Source organism: Homo sapiens, chromosome 17 (assembly GCF_000001405.40).
Source record: "Homo sapiens chromosome 17, GRCh38.p14 Primary Assembly".
NCBI classification, from domain to species: Eukaryota; Metazoa; Chordata; class Mammalia; order Primates; family Hominidae; genus Homo; species Homo sapiens.
This window is the reverse complement of record NC_000017.11, coordinates 18,295,235-18,313,014: the sequence shown is the minus strand read 5'-3', so window position 1 is coordinate 18,313,014 and position 17,780 is coordinate 18,295,235. Positions and strand designations below refer to the sequence as shown.

At 46.9% G+C, this 17,780-nt stretch overlaps 1 protein-coding gene and 1 pseudogene across 5 annotated transcripts in view, besides 1 other annotated feature; one reads left to right on the top strand and one right to left on the bottom strand.

Annotated features, from left to right (window-relative positions):
• The window catches only part of TOP3A (DNA topoisomerase III alpha), a 43,567-nt gene that overhangs the window by 1,980 nt on the left and 23,807 nt on the right, over positions 1–17,780 (top strand). For 2 of the 5 annotated variants that reach the window (NM_004618.5, XM_047436635.1), the window contains exons 2-9: positions 4,074–4,133; positions 4,591–4,664; positions 6,049–6,124; positions 7,795–7,903; positions 10,292–10,435; positions 10,581–10,751; positions 11,030–11,130; positions 13,382–13,456. In NM_004618.5, the coding sequence (NP_004609.1) occupies positions 4,074–4,133; positions 4,591–4,664; positions 6,049–6,124; positions 7,795–7,903; positions 10,292–10,435; positions 10,581–10,751; positions 11,030–11,130; positions 13,382–13,456 (810 nt within the window). Of the gene's footprint in view, positions 1–4,073; positions 4,134–4,590; positions 4,703–5,519; positions 5,543–6,048; positions 6,125–7,794; positions 7,904–10,291; positions 10,436–10,580; positions 10,752–11,029; positions 11,131–13,381; positions 13,457–17,780 lie in introns of those variants that run through there. The other 3 variants (NM_001320759.2, XM_047436634.1, XM_047436633.1) reach the window with 3 other exon arrangements.
• Positions 322–1,133, bottom strand: RPL7AP65 (ribosomal protein L7a pseudogene 65; annotated as a pseudogene).
• Positions 15,161–15,859: an enhancer, noted in NCBI's record as "H3K27ac-H3K4me1 hESC enhancer chr17:18200470-18201168 (GRCh37/hg19 assembly coordinates)". NCBI's record gives its function as "activates a minimal SCP1, AML or CMV promoter by ChIP-STARR-seq in naive H9 embryonic stem cells {active_cell/tissue: H9 hESC(naive)}" and the evidence as "EXISTENCE:reporter gene assay evidence [ECO:0000049][PMID:30033119]".

Here is a 17,780-nt window from a genome sequence, read left to right as displayed (position 1 = left end):
CCTCAGCCTCCCTAGTAGCTGGGATTACAGGTGCCTGTCACCATGCCCAGCTAATTTTTTGTATTTTTAGTAGTTTCACTGTGTTGGCCAGGATGGTCTTGAACTCCTGACTTCAGGTGAGCCACCCGCCTTAGCCTCCCAAAGTGTTAGGGTTACAGGCGTGAGCCACCGTGCCCAGCTCGAACTCCATGTTTTCTATAAGGCCAGGAGAACATACATCAGATGCCTCGTCCTCTTTTCCTTTGTGTTCGTCATTTTGGCAAATTACTCCAAGATGGCAGTTCCAGCCAAAAGGAAAGACTTTTCTTGGAAAGAGAATTTTTATTTTTATGTACAGAAAACACAACAGTGTGTACTTAACCCAGTTTAGTGGCAAATTCTTTAGCCTTTGCCTTTTCTAGGTTGGTAATGCAAGCTACAGATTTTGGACCCAGGGCATTGCCTCCCCAGTGACAGCAGATCTCATATGTCGTTGTAATTTGTCCCACCAGCTTAGCCAGAGCTCCTTTGTCTACCAGAAAGTTAACCTTTGTGAAGGTGACAGTGGTGCAGGTCTTCCTGTGGAATTTGACACCACAGTCTTGACGGTGCAGTAGAGAATCCCCATCTTAGGACACAGCACAGGCAGGAAGACAACCAGCTCAATGGGATCCACCACCAGCTGACCCTTCATGCTCTCTACCAAGTTGGTGACGGTGTCAACCCCTGCTCGAAGTGTAGGTGGTCTCTTAGTAGCGACATCCCCTTTGCTGGAAGCTTTCTTCTCAGCCTGGGCCAACGGTTTCGATCTCATCCCTTGCTCTGTCTCTTGTCTGTACTGTGGGCCAGCTTAAGCAATTGAGTAGCTTAAGTTTGGTAGTCTGAGGCCTGGGTGAACTGGTCAATCCCAGGTGGCACATCAGCCACTTATAGAGTACAGCGGCTCTGCCGCAGCAGCCATTTATAGCGGGACTATTTGACAAAGTGGGTGAGGCCCTTAGGCTAGATATCCAATGCCAAAATTATTAGGGCTTTTCTCAAATGGGATTTACCACCTTTTTGGCCTACTGCTGCTCCATGACAACAGGGGCCAGGGCCACTTCTTCCCCTTGGCCATCTTTCCTTTTGGCATCTGGGGCGGCTAGAGGAGAGAGGCTGCTGAAATGTCTCATCTTCAAGGAATCCTTCCCTCACCACCTGTTCCCCCACACTAGGTCAGAGACCCTTACTGACATGCTGTCATAGCACTCTATTCTACTTGAAAGGCATCTACTAGTTACAGTTAAATAATGGGATGTGCGATCATTTATTTGATTTTTGTCACTGCCTCTCCTTGGACTCTAAACTCCAAAGGACAGTGATTATATTTTGTTAATTGCTATGTCCTAACGCCTAATATGGTGTCTGGAATGCAGGAAACTTTCAATAAATATTAATACTTGGGCTGAGCGCAGCGGCTCATGCCTGTAATCCCAGCAGTTGGGGAGGCTCAAGCGGGCAGACCACCTGAGGTCGTGAGTTCAAGACCAGCCTGGCCAACATGGCAAAACCCCATCTCTACTAAAAATACAAAAATTAGCCAGGTGTGGTGGCGGGGTCCTGTAATCCCAGCTACTCACGAGGCTGAGGCAGGAGAATCGCTTCAACCCGGGAAGTGGAGCTTGCAGTGAGCCTAGATTGCGCCATTACATTACAGCCTGGGCGACAGAGTGAGACTCCATCTCAAAAAAAAATTAGGCCAGGCATGGTGGCTCATACCTGTAATCCCAGCACTCTGGGAGGCTGAGGTGGGCGGATCATGAGGTCAAGAGATTGAGACCATCCTGGCTAACACGGTGAAACCCTGTCTCTACTAAAAATACAAAAAATTAGCCGGGCATGCTGGCAGACGCCTGTAGTCCCAGCTACTCGGGAGGCTGAGGCAGCAGAATGGCATGAACCCGGGAGGTGGAGCTTGCAGTGAGCCGAGATTGTGCCACTGCACTCCAGCCTGGGCAACAGAGTGAGACTCTGTCTCAAAAAAAAAAAAAAAAATTCATAGTTGTTGAATGCATGTTTGAGCTGAGCCTGAAAGTTTTACCAGGCAGTAGAAACTGTAAAGAACAACCTAGTGGCTTGAAACTGCTTGGCATATTCAGAAACAGTGAGAAGTTAGGGGTGTGGTGTGGTGGGAAGAGACACCGATGAGTTAAGCAAGAGCAGCAGTTGAGTGCAGATCATAAGAATCTTAGAGAGCCATGTAGGTTGAGTGGTAAAATGCACAGAAAATTGACCATTTTAATCATTTTGAAGTATATAGTTCAGTGGAATTTTGTCCACTAAATGTGCCACCATCATCATTATCTAGTTCCAGAAGGTTTTTTTTCACCCCAAGAGGAAGCCTCATATCCATTAAGCAGTCACTCCCCTTACCCTCTCCTCAGCCCCTCACAACCACGAATCTGCCTTCTTTCCCCATGGATTTGCCTGTTCTGGGCATTTCCTATAAGTGGACCCATATCTTACATGCTCTTTTGTGTCAGGTTTCTTTCACTTAACATAATCTTGAAGTCCATCCATGTTGTACCATGTATTAATATCAGTTCTTCATTCCTTTTTTTTGGTTTTTGAGAAGGAGTCTCTCTCACTGTCGCTCAGGCTGGAGTGCAGTGATGAGATCTCGGCTCATTGTAACCACCGCCTCCCAGGTTCAAGCGATTCTCCTGCCTCAGCCTCCCAAGTAGCTGGGATTACAGGCACCCACCACCACGCCCAGCTAATTTTTTGTATTTTTAGTAGAGACAGGGTTTCACTATGTTGGCCAGGCTGGTCTCAAACTCCTGACCTCATGATCCGCCCACCTCAGCCTCCCAAAGTGCTGGAATTACAGGCATGAGCCATTGCACCTGGCCTCTTCATTCCTTTTTATGGCTGAATAATATTCTATCATATGGATAGATCATATTTCATTTTACCATACATCAGTTGATGGACATTTGGGTTGTTTTCATCTTTTGACTATTGTGAATAGAACTTCTATAGACATTCGCTGGGCGTGGTGGCTCACACCTGTAATCCCAGCACTTTGGGAGGCCGAGGCAGGTGGATCACGAGGTCAGGAGATTGAGAACATTCTGGCTAACACGGTGAAACCCCATCTCTACTAAAAATACAAAAAAATTAGCCGGGCGTGGTGGCAGGTGCCTGTAGTCCCAGCTACTCGGGAGGCTGAGGCAGGAGAATGGTGTGAACCCGGGAGGTGGAGCTTGCAGTGAGCCGAGATCACGCCACTGGACTCCAGCCTGGGCGACAGAGCCAGACTCCATCTCAAAAAAAAAAAAAAAAAAGAACTTCTATAGACTTTCATGTACAAGTTTTTGTTTGAATGTGTTTTTTTGTTTGTTTTTTGTTTTTTGAGACAGTCTCGCTCTGTCACCCAGGCTAGAGTGCAGTGGCGCCATCTCCACTCACTGCAACGTCCACCTCCTGGGCTCAAGTGATTCTCCTGCCTCAGCCTCCCCAAGTAACTGGGATTACAGGCACACACCACCACACCTGGCCAATTGTTGTATTTTTAGTAGAGATGGGGTTTCACCATGTTGGCCAGGCTGGTCTCGGACTCCTGACCTAAAGTGATCCAACTGTCTCAGCCTCCCAAAGTGTATTTGAATGCGTTTTTAATTCTTTTGGGTAAATTTGTAGGAGTGGAATTGCTGTGACATGTGATAACTCTGTAACTTTTTGAGGAAACACCAACATTTTCCAGAGTGGCCAAAGCATTTTACATTTCCACTGACAATGTCCAATTTCTCCACATCCTCAACAACACTTGTTATTTTACTTGTTTTTTTTATTATTCTATTTAATTATTATCCTAATGGGTATGGAGTGGTACCTCATCATGGTTTTGATTTGTGTTTTCCTAATGATTAATAACATTGAGCATCTTTTCATATGCTTGTTGGCCATTTCTTATCTTCTTTGGAGCAATGTTGGTTATATTTTTGGTATCATAACCAAGAAATCATTGCCAAATTCAGGATCAGAAAGAATTATACAAAGGAATCCATTGTTTTAAACGTAATTTATATTTTTTACTTATTTTTGTTTTATAGAGAGAAGGACTTTCAAAATTCAACAAGATCTATGAATTTGATTATCATCTGTATGGCCAGGTAGGTGCTAAAATATTTCTAAAATATTTCAATCATAAGCAAGAGAAAGTAGTCAGCCTCGTCATATGTAGAATATGTCGCTGTCTTAAGAATAACAACTGTTAACAACCTAAAGGTTCCTGGATATGGGGTGATCACTTTATAATTTATGAGGAGTTCTCTTTTTAATAAAATATGGTCCCATCTCAGCTCTTCATTACAAAAAAAAAAAGCTAATATACAATAGTTTGAGGAAAATTTAACTGATGCAAGAGGCGTCAGTTATACACCATATCATTAGAATGGTGATTGTATTCCTGTGACTTTTGGCTTTGAAGAGCTTATATTTATGTTTATTTCTTCCCAATCAGGTTTTTAAAAATGTCTTTAATAGAAGCTCCTCCCTCTCATTTTAATGATTTGGCAGAATAATAACTGCAAAAAGACTAACTGAATTTTGAATTTTGTCATCATTCAGAATGTTACCATGGTAATGACTTCAGTTTCTGGACATTTACTGGCTCATGATTTCCAGATGCAGTTTCGAAAATGGTCAGTACAATTCTCAAGGGAAGGACTTTCAGATTATAGTAAGTTGTGAAATTTCACAGGAATTTTGAGGCATGTTGATCTTACTGGGTAATTTTTTTTTTTTTTTTTTTTTTTTTTTTTTTTTTTTGTTGGAGACAAAGTTTCAGAGTGAGACTCTGTCTCCCAGGCTGGAGTGCAGTGGTGTGATCTCGGCTCACAGCAACCTCTGCCTCCTGGGTTCGAGTGATTCTCCTGCCTCACCCTCCCGAGTAGCTGGGACTATAGGCACGTGCCACCACACCTGGCTAGTTTTTGTATTTTTAGTAGAGACAGGGTTTCACCATGTTGACCAGGCTGGTCTCGAACTCCTGACCTCAGGTGGTCTGCCCACCTCAGCCTCCTGAAGTGCTGGGATTACAGACCGTGAGCCACCATGCCCGGTTTTTTTTTTTTTTTTTTTTTGAGTCAGGGTCTCGCTGCGTTACCCAGGCTGGAGTGCAGTGGCGCAATCTCGTCTCACTGCAACCTCCGCCTCCTGGGTTCAAGCGATTCTCATGCCTCAGTTTCCCAAGTAACTGGCCTTACAGCCATGTGCCACTACACCCAGCTAATTTTTTCTATTTTAGTAGAGATGGAGTTTCACCCTGTTGCCCAGGCTGGTCTTAAACAAAGCAGGGTTTGCCTTCTTTTGCCTCCCAAAGTGCTAGGATTACAGGCGTGAGCCACTGTGCCTTGGTAATTTATTTATTTATTTATTTATTTTATTTATTTTTTGAGACGGAGTTTTATTCTGTCGCCTAGGCTGGAGTGCAGTGGCACAATCTTGACTCATTGTAACCTCCACCTCCCGGGTTCAAGCGATTCTCCTGCCTCAGACTCCCGAGTAGCTGGGACTACAGGTGCCTGCCACCACGCTTGGCTAATTTTTCGTATTTTTAGTAGAGACGGGGTTTCACCGTGTTAGCCAGGCTAGTCTCGATCTCCTGACCTCGTGATCCACCCACCTTGGCCTCCCAACGTGCTGGGATTACAGGCGTGAGCTACCACGCCCAGCAGTAATTTATAATACTAAGATGACCTAGGATTATCTGATCCATTGTGAATTTTTATTAAATCTTTAAACAGTCACTTTTGGTGTTCCTCAAAATTGCCAGACCTTTTTCATGCAGCCATTGGATTGCATTTACCTGTGAAAGGGCTCCAGAATGCCATCTTATCAGTCCTGTTCACACTCTTGGAGAAGTGGACAGTGTGTCATGCAGAGGGTCATAGCCTTACTTTCAATTCACCGGGACCTTTTCTTTTGGGGATACACCATGAACCCATTGGAACAGTTTGCTGTCATTAGATTGGAGGGCTCTCTGTCATGTACTGAGTTGGGACTCTGTTTTCATTTCTTTTCTAGGCAGAGCTGCAACCCTCTTGTCCTCTTTGAAGCAGAAATTGAAAAGTACTGCCCAGAGAATTTTGTAGACATCAAGGTAGGGTCTTTTGGAAGACATATGGCACTGAGTCAAACCACAGAGTCAAACAGAGTGATTTCTTTGTTTTTAATGCATTGGCATTTGGAGATAAGGTTTTCCACCAAAGTCACTACCATGATTTAAAAAGCTGGTTCCCACCCATTGTATAAATGTGGCTAAGTGGCCAAGGGACTGAAGTAAACTTTTTTTATGAATGGTAGTTGTTTAAATCCTAGGAATAAAGGCTGGACATGGTGGTTTATGCCTGTAATCCCAGCAATTTGTGGGGCCAAGGCAGGATCACATGAACTCCAGGAATTTGAGACCAGCCTGGGCAACATAGTGAGACCCTATCTCTCAAAAAAAAAAAAAAATTTAACCAGGCATGGTGATGTATGCCTATAGTCCCAGCTACTAGTAAGGCTGAGGAAGGAGGATTACTTGATCCCAGGAGGCAGGAGGTTGAGGCTGCAGTGAGCCGTAATCACACCACCACACTCCAGCCTGGTGAGAAAGTGAGACCCTATCAAAAAATAATCCTAAGTATTGTAAATTATTAGCGCGTAGCCCCCATCTCACCCCTTGTTAGATGAAAGAGGCTACAAAGTATAAATGCCTGTTTGACAGTAAATTGCCAGTTGTCAAGCAGTCAGGGCATGTATAGTTAATTTATTTTTAATTTTTATTTATTTATTTATTTATTTTTTGAGACGAAGTCTCGCTCTTGTCCCCCAGGCTGGAGTATGATGGTGCAATCTCAGCTCACTGCAACCTCTGCCTCCAGGTTCAAGCGATTCTCTTGCCTTAGCCTCTCAAGTAGCTGAGATTACAGGCGCCTGCCACCACACCCGGCTAATTTGTGCATTTTTAACAGAGATGGGGTTTCACCATGTTGGCCAGGCTGGTCTCGAACTCCTGACCTCACGTGATCCACCCGCCTCAGCCTCCTAAAGTTTTGGGATTACAGGTGTGAGCCACCGAGCCTGGCCAGTTAATTTATTGAGAACTGATAAAACTTTGGATGAAATTCAATTGGGATTCATTTTGTTTTGTTTTGTTTTGTTTTGTTTTGAGATGGAGTCTTGCTCTGTCACCCAGGCTGGACTGCAGTGGTGCGATCTCGACTCACTGCAAGCTGCGCCTCCCGGGTTCATGCCATTCTCCTGCCTCAGCTTCCCGAGTAGCTGGGACTACAGGTGCCTGCCACCATGCCCGGCTAATTTTTTGTATTTTTAGTAGAGACAGGGTTTCACCGTGTTAACCAGGATGGTCTCGATCTCCTGACCTCGTGATCCACCCACCTCGGCCTCCCAAAGTGCTGGGATTACAGGCGTGAGCCACCACGCCCAGCCGGCTTCGTTTTTTTTAACTAGGTCATAATCAGAACCTCTCGAAGTGTGCGTGCGCGCGCGCGCGCGCGCGTGTGTGTGTGTTAGAGCTGAATTTCAGGTTTTGTCATATTGGGGAAGTTATATTAAACCCTCTATTCTAGAAACTCGTTTATGGTTCTAAGGGGTTGTATCATGATTAGCACCAATGAGAGCAGTTTTCTCTGTTCTCTTTCCCTTGCCAAGTTGTCACACTCCAAGAGCAGCATTAACCTTCAGTCAGATCCCCTTAGCTTAGAGATGTCAAGTCACTGTTGTGCAATTCTGTTCTCACCACTCTTATTCCACTGCGAACTTAAGAAAACTTTGGAACGAGAGACTCGCCAGTGCCAGGCTCTGGTGATCTGGACTGACTGTGATAGAGAAGGCGAAAACATCGGGTTTGAGATTATCCACGTGTGTAAGGCTGGTAAGTGCTGCTGCTGCTGCTGACTTTCTCTACTTTGGAACTCCATAAATAGAGTGTTCTTGTTTATATGTGCACATGGGCCACGGATGAGGTCCTCTGCAGGTACTCTCCCTCCCAGTCTGTGAGTCCCACCAGCCATGTGTCCTGGAGCAAATCACTGAGCCATTGGGAGCCTCAACTTCCTTGTCTCTAACATCAGGCCAATCTGACATGTTTCCTGGGACTGCCACAGAGATTAGATGAGTTAATGAGTGGTGTAAACCATTTAGCCCAGGACTCATTTCTTGTTAGGTACAAGCATACAAGCAGATACCCGGCTCCTTGAGAACAGGGACTTTATATTCTTTTTGTTGTTGTTGTTGTTGTTATATATTGAATTCTTTTAGTATTTGGTTAATGGAAGCAAAAATAGAAAAATAAAATTACATATTGAATATGTATAAAAGAATGAATATACCACAAGTAAAGTACAAAAAATAATTATAAAATGTTCTGTTTTCTTTTTTAATCTCTCATATTATACAATGCTCGACTATTAATAAATAATTGTTGCAGTGGATTTAAAGGCTCTAACAGTGTTAATGGTTTTGGGTAACTTAGAGGGAGTGATGAACAGGCCATTCTCTGGCTCAGAGGGTGGGGTTGCTACTTTCCTTTAGTGGTTTTGTGTTCAAAGCTGTAATGACTCCTGGAAATTTAAGTGCATTAACTTTCAAGGACAGTGTGTATATGTCCTATATTCTTTGCTGAAGGGACATGAAATTCCCCTACAGAACCCTTTAATTGACAATATTTTTCTTTTCTCAAAAGGCCTGAGAGAGCAAGTAAGATTAAAGTTGCAAAAGGCAGCCAGGCACGGTGGCTCATGCCTGTAATCCCAGCACTTTGGGAGGCTGAGGCAGGTGGATCTCCTGAGGTCAGGTGTTCAAGACCAGCCTGGTCAACATGGTGAAACCCTGTCTCTACTAAAAATACAAAAATTAGCCAGGTGTGGTGGCGGGCGCCTGTAGTCCCAGCTACTCAGGAGACCAAGGCAGGAGAATTGCTTGAACCCAGGAAGCAGAGGTTGCAGTGAGCCGAGATTGCACCACTGCACTCCAGCCTGGGTGACAGAGTGAGACTGTCTCCAAAAAAAAAATGTTCACCAAGAGCATTTTAGTATTTTAGTTATTGGAGGGGGCCTGCCCCTCCACACCTGTGGGTATTTCTCACAAGGTGGAGACGAGAGACTGAGAAAAGAAAGAAGACACACACAAAGTAAAGGGGAAGAAAAGTGGGCCCAGGGGACCGGCGCTCAGCAAGTGAAGACCTACACCAGTGCTGGTCTCAGTTCCTCAGTATTTATCAATCACTATCTTTACTATCTCAGGGAGGGGAATGCAGTGTGACTATAGGGTGTTGGTGGGGAGAGGGTCAGCAGGAAAACAAACAAAAGACTGTGTCATAAATAAGTTTAAGGGAAGGTGCTGTGCCTGGATGTGCACGTAGGCTAGATTTATGTTTACCTTTACATAAACATCTCAGTGCAGTAAAGAGTAACAGAGCAGTATTGCCGCCGTGATGTCTCGCCTCCAGCCATAAGGTGGTTTTCTCCTATCTCAGAATAGAATATATGGTCGGTTGTACACCGAGTCATTCCATTCCCAGAGACGTGCAGGAGACAGATGCCTTCTTATCTCAACCGCATAGAGGCCTTACTCTTTCACTAATCCTCCTCAGCACTGACCCTTTACGAGTGTCGGGCTGGGGGGCTGTAAGTCTTTCCCTTCCCACGAGGCCATATCTCAGGCTGTCTCAGTCGGGGGAAACCTTGACAATACCCAGGCTTTCTTGGGCAGGGGTCCCTGCGGCCTTCCACAGTGCATTGTGTCTCTGGTTAATAGAGAGTGGAGAATGGCGATGACTTTCACAAAGCGTACTGCCTGCAAACACATTTTTAACAAAGCACATCCTGCACAGGCCTAAATCCTTTAAACCTTGAGTCAATACAGCACATGTTTTTGTGAGCACAGGGTTGGGACAAGTCACAGATTATTAACAGCATCTCAAAGCAGAACAATTTTTCTTAGTACAGATCAAAATGGAGTTTCTTTATGTCTTCCTTTTTCTACTAGACACAGTAACGATCTGATCTCTCTTTTCCCCACAGTTACTAGCTAAAATTAACTCCATCACTATTTCTGACAGTACACTCAGTTTAAAGGTTATGGTGATGTTTCCTCTTTAGACACTGTACACCATTGATTTAACCTAATAGGTAAATTGGTCATCTCACAGCTTCTTGAACTGGTTTGCCTTTATTTCAAGGGGCTTTAAGAAAAGTGAGTCCTTTATGATGGAGGGCAGTGTGATTTGACTTTGACCTTGGTAACACCTTGTGTTCTGCAGTAAAGCCCAATCTGCAGGTGTTGCGAGCCCGATTCTCTGAGATCACACCCCATGCCGTCAGGACAGCTTGTGAAAACCTGACCGAGCCTGATCAGAGGGTGAGCGATGCTGTGGATGTGAGGCAGGAGCTGGACCTGAGGATTGGTGAGGAGCTAGGCAGACCTCTCCCATGGCCACATTAATGTTGTGTTATGGGACCAAAAATGGGCTCTGTGTCGATATGTGCAGCCAGCCCTGGACTCTCATTATCCATCATTTTCACCTTCCTTCACTCTCCTTCACTCTCCAGGAGCTGCCTTTACTAGGTTCCAGACCCTGCGGCTTCAGAGGATTTTTCCTGAGGTGCTGGCAGAGCAGCTCATCAGTTACGGCAGCTGCCAGTTCCCCACACTGGGCTTTGTGGTGGAGCGGTTCAAAGCCATTCAGGCTTTTGTACCAGAAATCTTCCACAGAATTAAAGGTAGGGCCTGGAGTGGGTGTTATGGCCTGGGACCTATGGGCTCAAGGTTAAGGAGGGGGACTGTGAGCATTAATAGCACTAATAAAGATGTGATTTATTTTAGTCTTGCTGTCATCCTCCCTGGCCCATTACAATCCACTTAAAGTTCCCTTTGTTATCCAGAAACTCCTCCCTATTTGATATTCGTTTGACTTTCACCACAATAAACCTTTTTCTATCTGTCATATCATGACATGTCTCTGAGACACAGCCTTTCTGTTTGTCTCTCCTTAATATAGTAACTCATGACCACAAAGATGGTATCGTAGAATTCAACTGGAAAAGGCATCGACTCTTTAACCACACGGCTTGCCTAGTTCTCTATCAGTTGTGTGTGGAGGTAAGAACCCCTAATGATCTAGGAAACATTCTGCACACCTCCCAAACCACTCCCACTGTCGGCAGAGGTGATCTGTCTCATTCTCCCATTGGACTTTAGCTTTAAGTTTGCATCTCAGGGGATCACTTTTTGGGAACCAATAAGACGAACCCCATGAGAACAGCACTAAAAGGAAAAGGGAAGTATCTACATTATTTTTAGATAAAATCAGAAATTTTGGGAAACGTATAGTTGAAATCCCCTCTTGGGGCATATACTATCACCAGAAATTAGCAAGGATTATCTAGACCAGTCCAGGTCATTGACTTATAGAGCTAGGAGAGAATGAACAGCATTTGGCTCAGCCCCCTCTTTATTGGTCACATGAGGACATCTAGAGAAGTGAAAGTCACAAATTAGTGGGCTAATTTTATATAGTGATAAAAGCTAGGAAGAAAATAAAGCAAGGTAAAGGGATAGAGAAAGGCCGGAGGGACAGTGAGGGGAGGGGTAACACTTGAGCAGAGGCTGGAGAGATTAGGGAAAGGGCTGGCGGGGTGGGTGGGACACGCATGTGTCATAGAAGGGAGCAAGACTGGCCCGGGTCATAGGCCAGTTGGTGGCAGAGTTGGGACCCACCCTAATGTTTCCTGGCCCTTGGGCTGATTGTTTACTTTCTGATGCCACTTCCTATTAGCACATAACAGCCTGGTTTAACCCAGGGGCTGCACAGAGTCATGCTTAAGTAAAATTCCGAGCTCTCTAGGCTTAATTCATGGTGTGCTTCTTGGCTGTAGCCCACTGGCAGATTTGTTACTAATTAGGCAAAGGGATGTGATAACTGTGCAGCACCCGCTATGGACCAGGTACACTTCGTTATGTGTTGTTTTGTTTAATCCTAATAATGCCTCTGAAGGCAGTGATAGCATCCACATTTTCCAGATGAGGAAGCTAAAGAAAGTGAAGAGACTTAACCCACAGACACGTGAGAGCTGTACATGGCAGAGTCCTAGTGTGTCCCTGCCCCTTCTGCAGACCATGCTGCCTTCTCCATCTCTCTCTCACTCCACCCTTTGACCCTGGACCACTGGGAGTCTCTGTGACACTGTACAATTATTTGTTAAATAAAAAGACCACCAGCCTGGGTTTCATAGTGAAACCCCATCTTTCTAAAAAAGAAAAATTAGCTGGGCGTGGTGGTACCTGCATATAGTTCCATCTACTTGGGAGGCTGAGGTGGGAGAATCGCTTGAGCCCAGCAGATTGAGGCTGCAGTGAGCCATGATTATGCCACTGCACTTCAGCCTGAGTGACAGAACGAGATACTGCCTCAAAAAAAAAATCAAATAATAATAAAATATAAAAGTAAGTAATAAAAAGACCTGCCCTGTTTCTCCTTCACTCGGATGTGGTGCGGGACTACGTGGTGGGTGATGTAAACTATGAAGCTGGTTTTAAGATTAAAGGTCTCCAACTTGTACAATTTCTCCTATTTCTTTTTTTTTTCTCCCCCGAGACAAAGTCTAGCTCATTTGCCAGGCTGGAGTGCAATGGCACGATCTCAGCTCACTGCAACCTCTACCTCCCGGGTTCAAGCGATTCTCCTGCCTCAGCCTCCCCAGTAGCTGGAACTACAGGCGTGCACCACCACGCCCAGCTAATTTTTGTATTTTTAGTAGAGATGGATTTTCACCATGTTGGCCAGGATGGTCTAGCTCTCGACCTTGTAATCCGCCCGCCTCGGCCTCCCAAAGTGGTGGGATTACAGGCGTGAGCCACTGTGCCCAGCAATTTCTCCTATTTCTAACTGTATTATCCTGAATTTTTTTTTTAAAGGAGCACTGGGCCAAGCATGGTGGCTTATGGGAGTATTGCTTGAGCCCAGGACTTCTGGGCCAGCCTGGGCAACATAGCAAGACCCCATCTCTGTATTTTAAAGAAAACAACAACAGAAAGAGCACTGTGCACGTGTACATAGAAAACTGTACTCAGGTGATGCATAGGCTGTTGGATTTCATAGGCTCTGGTGGAAGCACCTTAAGGCTTGTGAAATTGCCCTTCACAATCTTGGTTTGAGTGGGAAAGTAGTGATGGTGTCTACCATACTGTCAGCTACAAGCGACATTAAGTGGGGCACTCTTCTAGGCTGTCACTGCGGGCTTAGCTGGCGGTGGTCAGTGTGATCTAGAAGGATTGGCATGGGCTATCCATAGGAAGGATGGAGATGATGCACTAACAGGTTAACATGGTCTTTTCTTTCCTGGCTTTCTAGGATCCCATGGCAACTGTGGTAGAGGTCAGATCTAAGCCCAAGAGCAAGTGGCGGCCTCAAGCCTTGGACACTGTGGTATGTTCCAGACAGGCTGTTTCAGGCACTCGGGGAACACTTACTGTTTTGAGGCTGTGGTTCTACCGCCTAGACTGTGGCTTGGTGGAAGAAAATATCACCCATCACCAGGCCACACAAGAAAACACTGGAGAAAGACACGGTCCTGCTTAGCCTCACTGTTTGTTTTTTTGTTTATTTTGTTTTTGTAGACTCAAACTTCTGGGCTCAAGAGATCTTCCCACCTCAGCCTCCCAAGTAGCTGGGACTATAGTCATGTACCACTATGACCAGCTAATTATTTTTAAAATTTTTTGGTAGAGATGGAATCTCACTATGTTGACTAGGCTAGTCTCAAGCTTCTGGCCTCAAGTGATTCTCCAGCCCCAGCCTCCCAAAGTACTGGGATTACAGGCATAAGCCACCACACCCAACCACTGCTTGGCCTGTTATTTTTTATTTTTTATTTTTTGAGATGGAGTTTTGCTCTTTTTTTTTTTTAATTTTAATTTTATTTTTATTTTTTTTAATTGATCATTCTTGGGTGTTTCTCACAGAGGGGGATTTGGCAGGGTCACAGGACAATAGTGGAGGGAAGGTCAGCAGATAAACAAGTGAACAAAGGTCTCTGGTTTTCCTAGGCAGAGGACCCTGCGGCCTTCCGCAGTGTTTGTGTCCCTGGGTACTTGAGATTAGGGAGTGGTGATGACTCTTAAGGAGCATGCTGCCTTCAAGCATCTGTTTAACAAAGCACATCTTGCACTGCCCTTAATTCATTCAACCCTGAGTGGATACAGCACATGTTTCAGATAGCACAGGGTTGGGGGTAAGGTCACAGATCAACAGGATCCCAAGGCAGAAGAATTTTTCTTAGTACAGAACAAAATGAAAAGTCTCCCACGTCTACCTCTTTCTACACAGACACGGCAACCATCCGATTTCTCAATCTTTTCCCCACCCTTCCCCCCTTTCTATTCCACAAAACCTCCATTGTCATCATGGCCCGTTCTCAATGAGCTGTTGGGTACACCTCCCAGACAGGGTGGTGGCCGGGCAGAGGGGATCCTCACTTCCCAGTAGGGGCAGCCGGGCAGAGGCGCCCCTCACCTCCCGGACGGGGCGGCTGGCCGGGCGGGGGGCTGACCCCCCCACCTCCCTCCCGGACGGGGAGGCTGGCCGGGTGGGGGGCTGACCCCCCCACCTCCCTCCCGGATGGGGCGGCTGGCCGGGCGGGGGGCTGACCCTCCCACCTCCCTGCCGGACGAGGTGGCTGCTGGGCAGAGACGCTCCTCACTTCCCAGACGGGGTGGCTGCTGGGCGGAGGGGCTTCTCACTTCTCAGACGGCGCGGCTGCTGGGCGGAGGGGCTCCTCACTTCTCAGACGGGGCGGTTGCCGGGCGGAGGGGCTCCTCACTTCTCAGACGGGGTGGTTGCCAGGCAGAGGGTCTCCTCACCTCTCAGACGGGGCGGCCGGGCAGAGACGCTCCTCACATCCCAGACGGGGCGGCAGGGCAGAGGTGCTCCCCACATCTCAGACGATGGGCGGCCGGGCAGAGACGCTCCTCACTTCCCAGATGGGATGGCGGCCGGGAAGAGGCGCTCCTCACTTCCTAGATGGGATGGCGGCCGGGCAGAGACGCTCCTCACTTTCCAGACTGGGCAGCCAGGCAGAGGGGCTCCTCACATCCCAGACGATGGGCGGCTGGGCAGAGACGCTCCTCACTTCCCAGATGGGGTGGCGGCCGGGCAGAGGCTGCAATCTCGGCACTTTGGGAGGCCAAGGCAGGCTGCTGGGAGGTGAAGGTTGTAGCGAGCCGAGATCACGCCACTGCACTCCAGCCTGGGCACCATTGAGCACGGAGTGAACGAGACTCCGTCTGCAATCCCGGCACCTCAGGATGCCGAGGCTGGCGGATCACTAGCGGTTAGGAGCTGGAGACCAGCCCAGCCAACACAGCGAAACCCCGTCTCCACCAAAAAAATACGAAAACCAGTCAGGTGTGGCGGCGCGCGCCTGCAATCGCAGGCAGTCCGCAGGCTGAGGCAGGAGAATCAGGCAGCAGTACCGTCCAGCTTCAGCTCGGCATCAGAGGGAGACCGTGGAGAGAGGGAGACGGAGACCGTGGGGAGAGGGAGAGGGACAGGGACAGGGACAGGGCGCAGTTTCGCTCTTGTTGCCTAGGCTGGAGTGCAATGGTGCGGTCTCAGCTCACCACAACTTCTGCCTCCCGGGTTCAAGTGATTCTCCTGCCTCAGCCTCCCAAGTAGCTGGGATTATAGGCATGCACCACCATGCCTGGCTAATTTTGTGTTTGTAGTAGAGACAGGGTTTCTCCATGTTGGTCAGGCTGGTCTCGAACTTCTGACCTCAGGTGATCTGCCCACCTCAGCCTCCCAAAGTGCTGGGATTAGAGGCGTGAGCCACCGCGCCTGGCCTTTTTTTTGTTGTTTTTGTTAACAAATGCAATATAACTGCATTGTATGAGGTTTGGGAAACAAAAAGAGGAAGACAACCTATGGCTTCACCATCCTTACATAATTACTAGTATCTCTTCCTGTTTTTTAATATGCATATTTTTACAGCATTATAATTAGAGTAGCTTTTCCACCCAAGCATTTTTTTCATGTTGCTGTATAATCTGTATAAATATTGCTTTAAATAATCTGCTATATGAACCTACTTTAGAACAGGGCTTCTCAAATTATTTGACCCCAGAAAGAGCCACCCTGACAGAACATAAGTCTGAGTAAATCACATTAGGAGTATGCCTTCTCAGTCACCACTTAGCAGGAAAATTTGGGATAGAATTACTATTAGAATTCACTCTGGAGGTTGGACATACAGAACACTCAGGCTAACAAGCATGGAGGCTAAGAAGCACACAGGGACTGGTGGTCAGTGCGTTCTTTTGTCTTGGTCAAGCCACAATAAATGTGTATATGTGTGGAGGGATTGCATGGGGGAAGTTATGCATTTTGTTTGTTTGTTTGTTTGTTTTTTGAGACAGAGTCTTGCTCTGTCGCCAGGCTGGAGTGCAGTGGCGTGATCTTGGTTCACTGCAACCTCCGTCTCCCGGGCTCAAGCGAGTCTCCTGCCTCAGCCTCCTGAGTAGCTGGGACTATAGGTGCGCGCCACCACACCCAGCTAATTTTTGTATTTTTAGTAGAGATGGGGTTTCACCATGTTGGCCAGGGTAGTCTCAATCTATTGAACTTGTGATCCGCCCGCCTCGGCCTCCCAAAGTGCTGGGATTAGAGGCATGACCCACCGTGCCCAGCTGCATTGATTTTATATAGTAGGCATATGTGTTTTAGTCCTCCCTGGTTAAGTGTGCTGTAGTGTGACGTATAGTCATCAGCATTGTTAGCTTGTCACCTAGGGAAAAGAACAGCTCATTATTTTCACCCTCCAGGAGAATTTACTGGGGCTTGGGTGGTATTCCCAAAGTGTGGTTCTCAGACTGTCTGTGTTAAAGCAGTGTATTAGACTGCTTGTTAAAAAATGTAGATTTCGGGCCGGGCGCAGTGGCTCACGCCTGTAATCTCAGCACTTTGGGAGGCTGAGGCGGGCAGATCACGAGGTAGGAGATCGAGACCATCCTGGCTAACATGGTGAAACCCTGTCTCTACTAAAAATAGAAAAAATCAGCCAGGCGTGGTGGCAGGTGCCTGTAGTCCCAGCTACTCGGGAGGCTGAGGCAGGAGAATTGGCGTGAACCCAGGAGGCAGAGCTTACAGTGAGCCGAGATCACGCCACTGCACTCCAGCCTGGATGACAGAGCAAGACTCCATGTGAAAAAAAAAAAAAATGTAGATTTCTGGGCCAGACGCGGTGGCTCACGCCTGTAATCACAGCACTTTGGGAGGCCAAGGCAGGCAGATCACCTGAGGTCAGGAATTTGAGACCAGCCTGGCCAACATGGCAAAACCCCGTCTCTACTGAAAACACAAGAATTAGCCAGCCATGGTGAGCACCTGTAGTCCCAGCTACTCAGGAGGCTGAGGCAGGAGAATCGCATGAACCCAGGAGGCAGAGGTTGCAGTGAGCCGAGATCGTGCCACTGCCCTGCAGTCTGGGCAACAAGAGCGAGACTGTCTCGAAAATAAAAAAATTTTTAAAATGCAGAGTTTTGGCCAGACGTGGTGGCTCACTTCTGTAATCCCAGCACTTTGGGAGGCCGAGGCGGGCAGATCACCTGAGGTCAGGTGTTCGAGACCAGCCAGGCCAGCATGGCAAAACCCCATCTCTACTAAAAATACAAAAATTTGCCAAGCATGGTGGTGATGTAATCTCAGCTACTTGGGAGGCTGAAGCAGGAGAATCACTTGAACCCAGGAAGTGGAG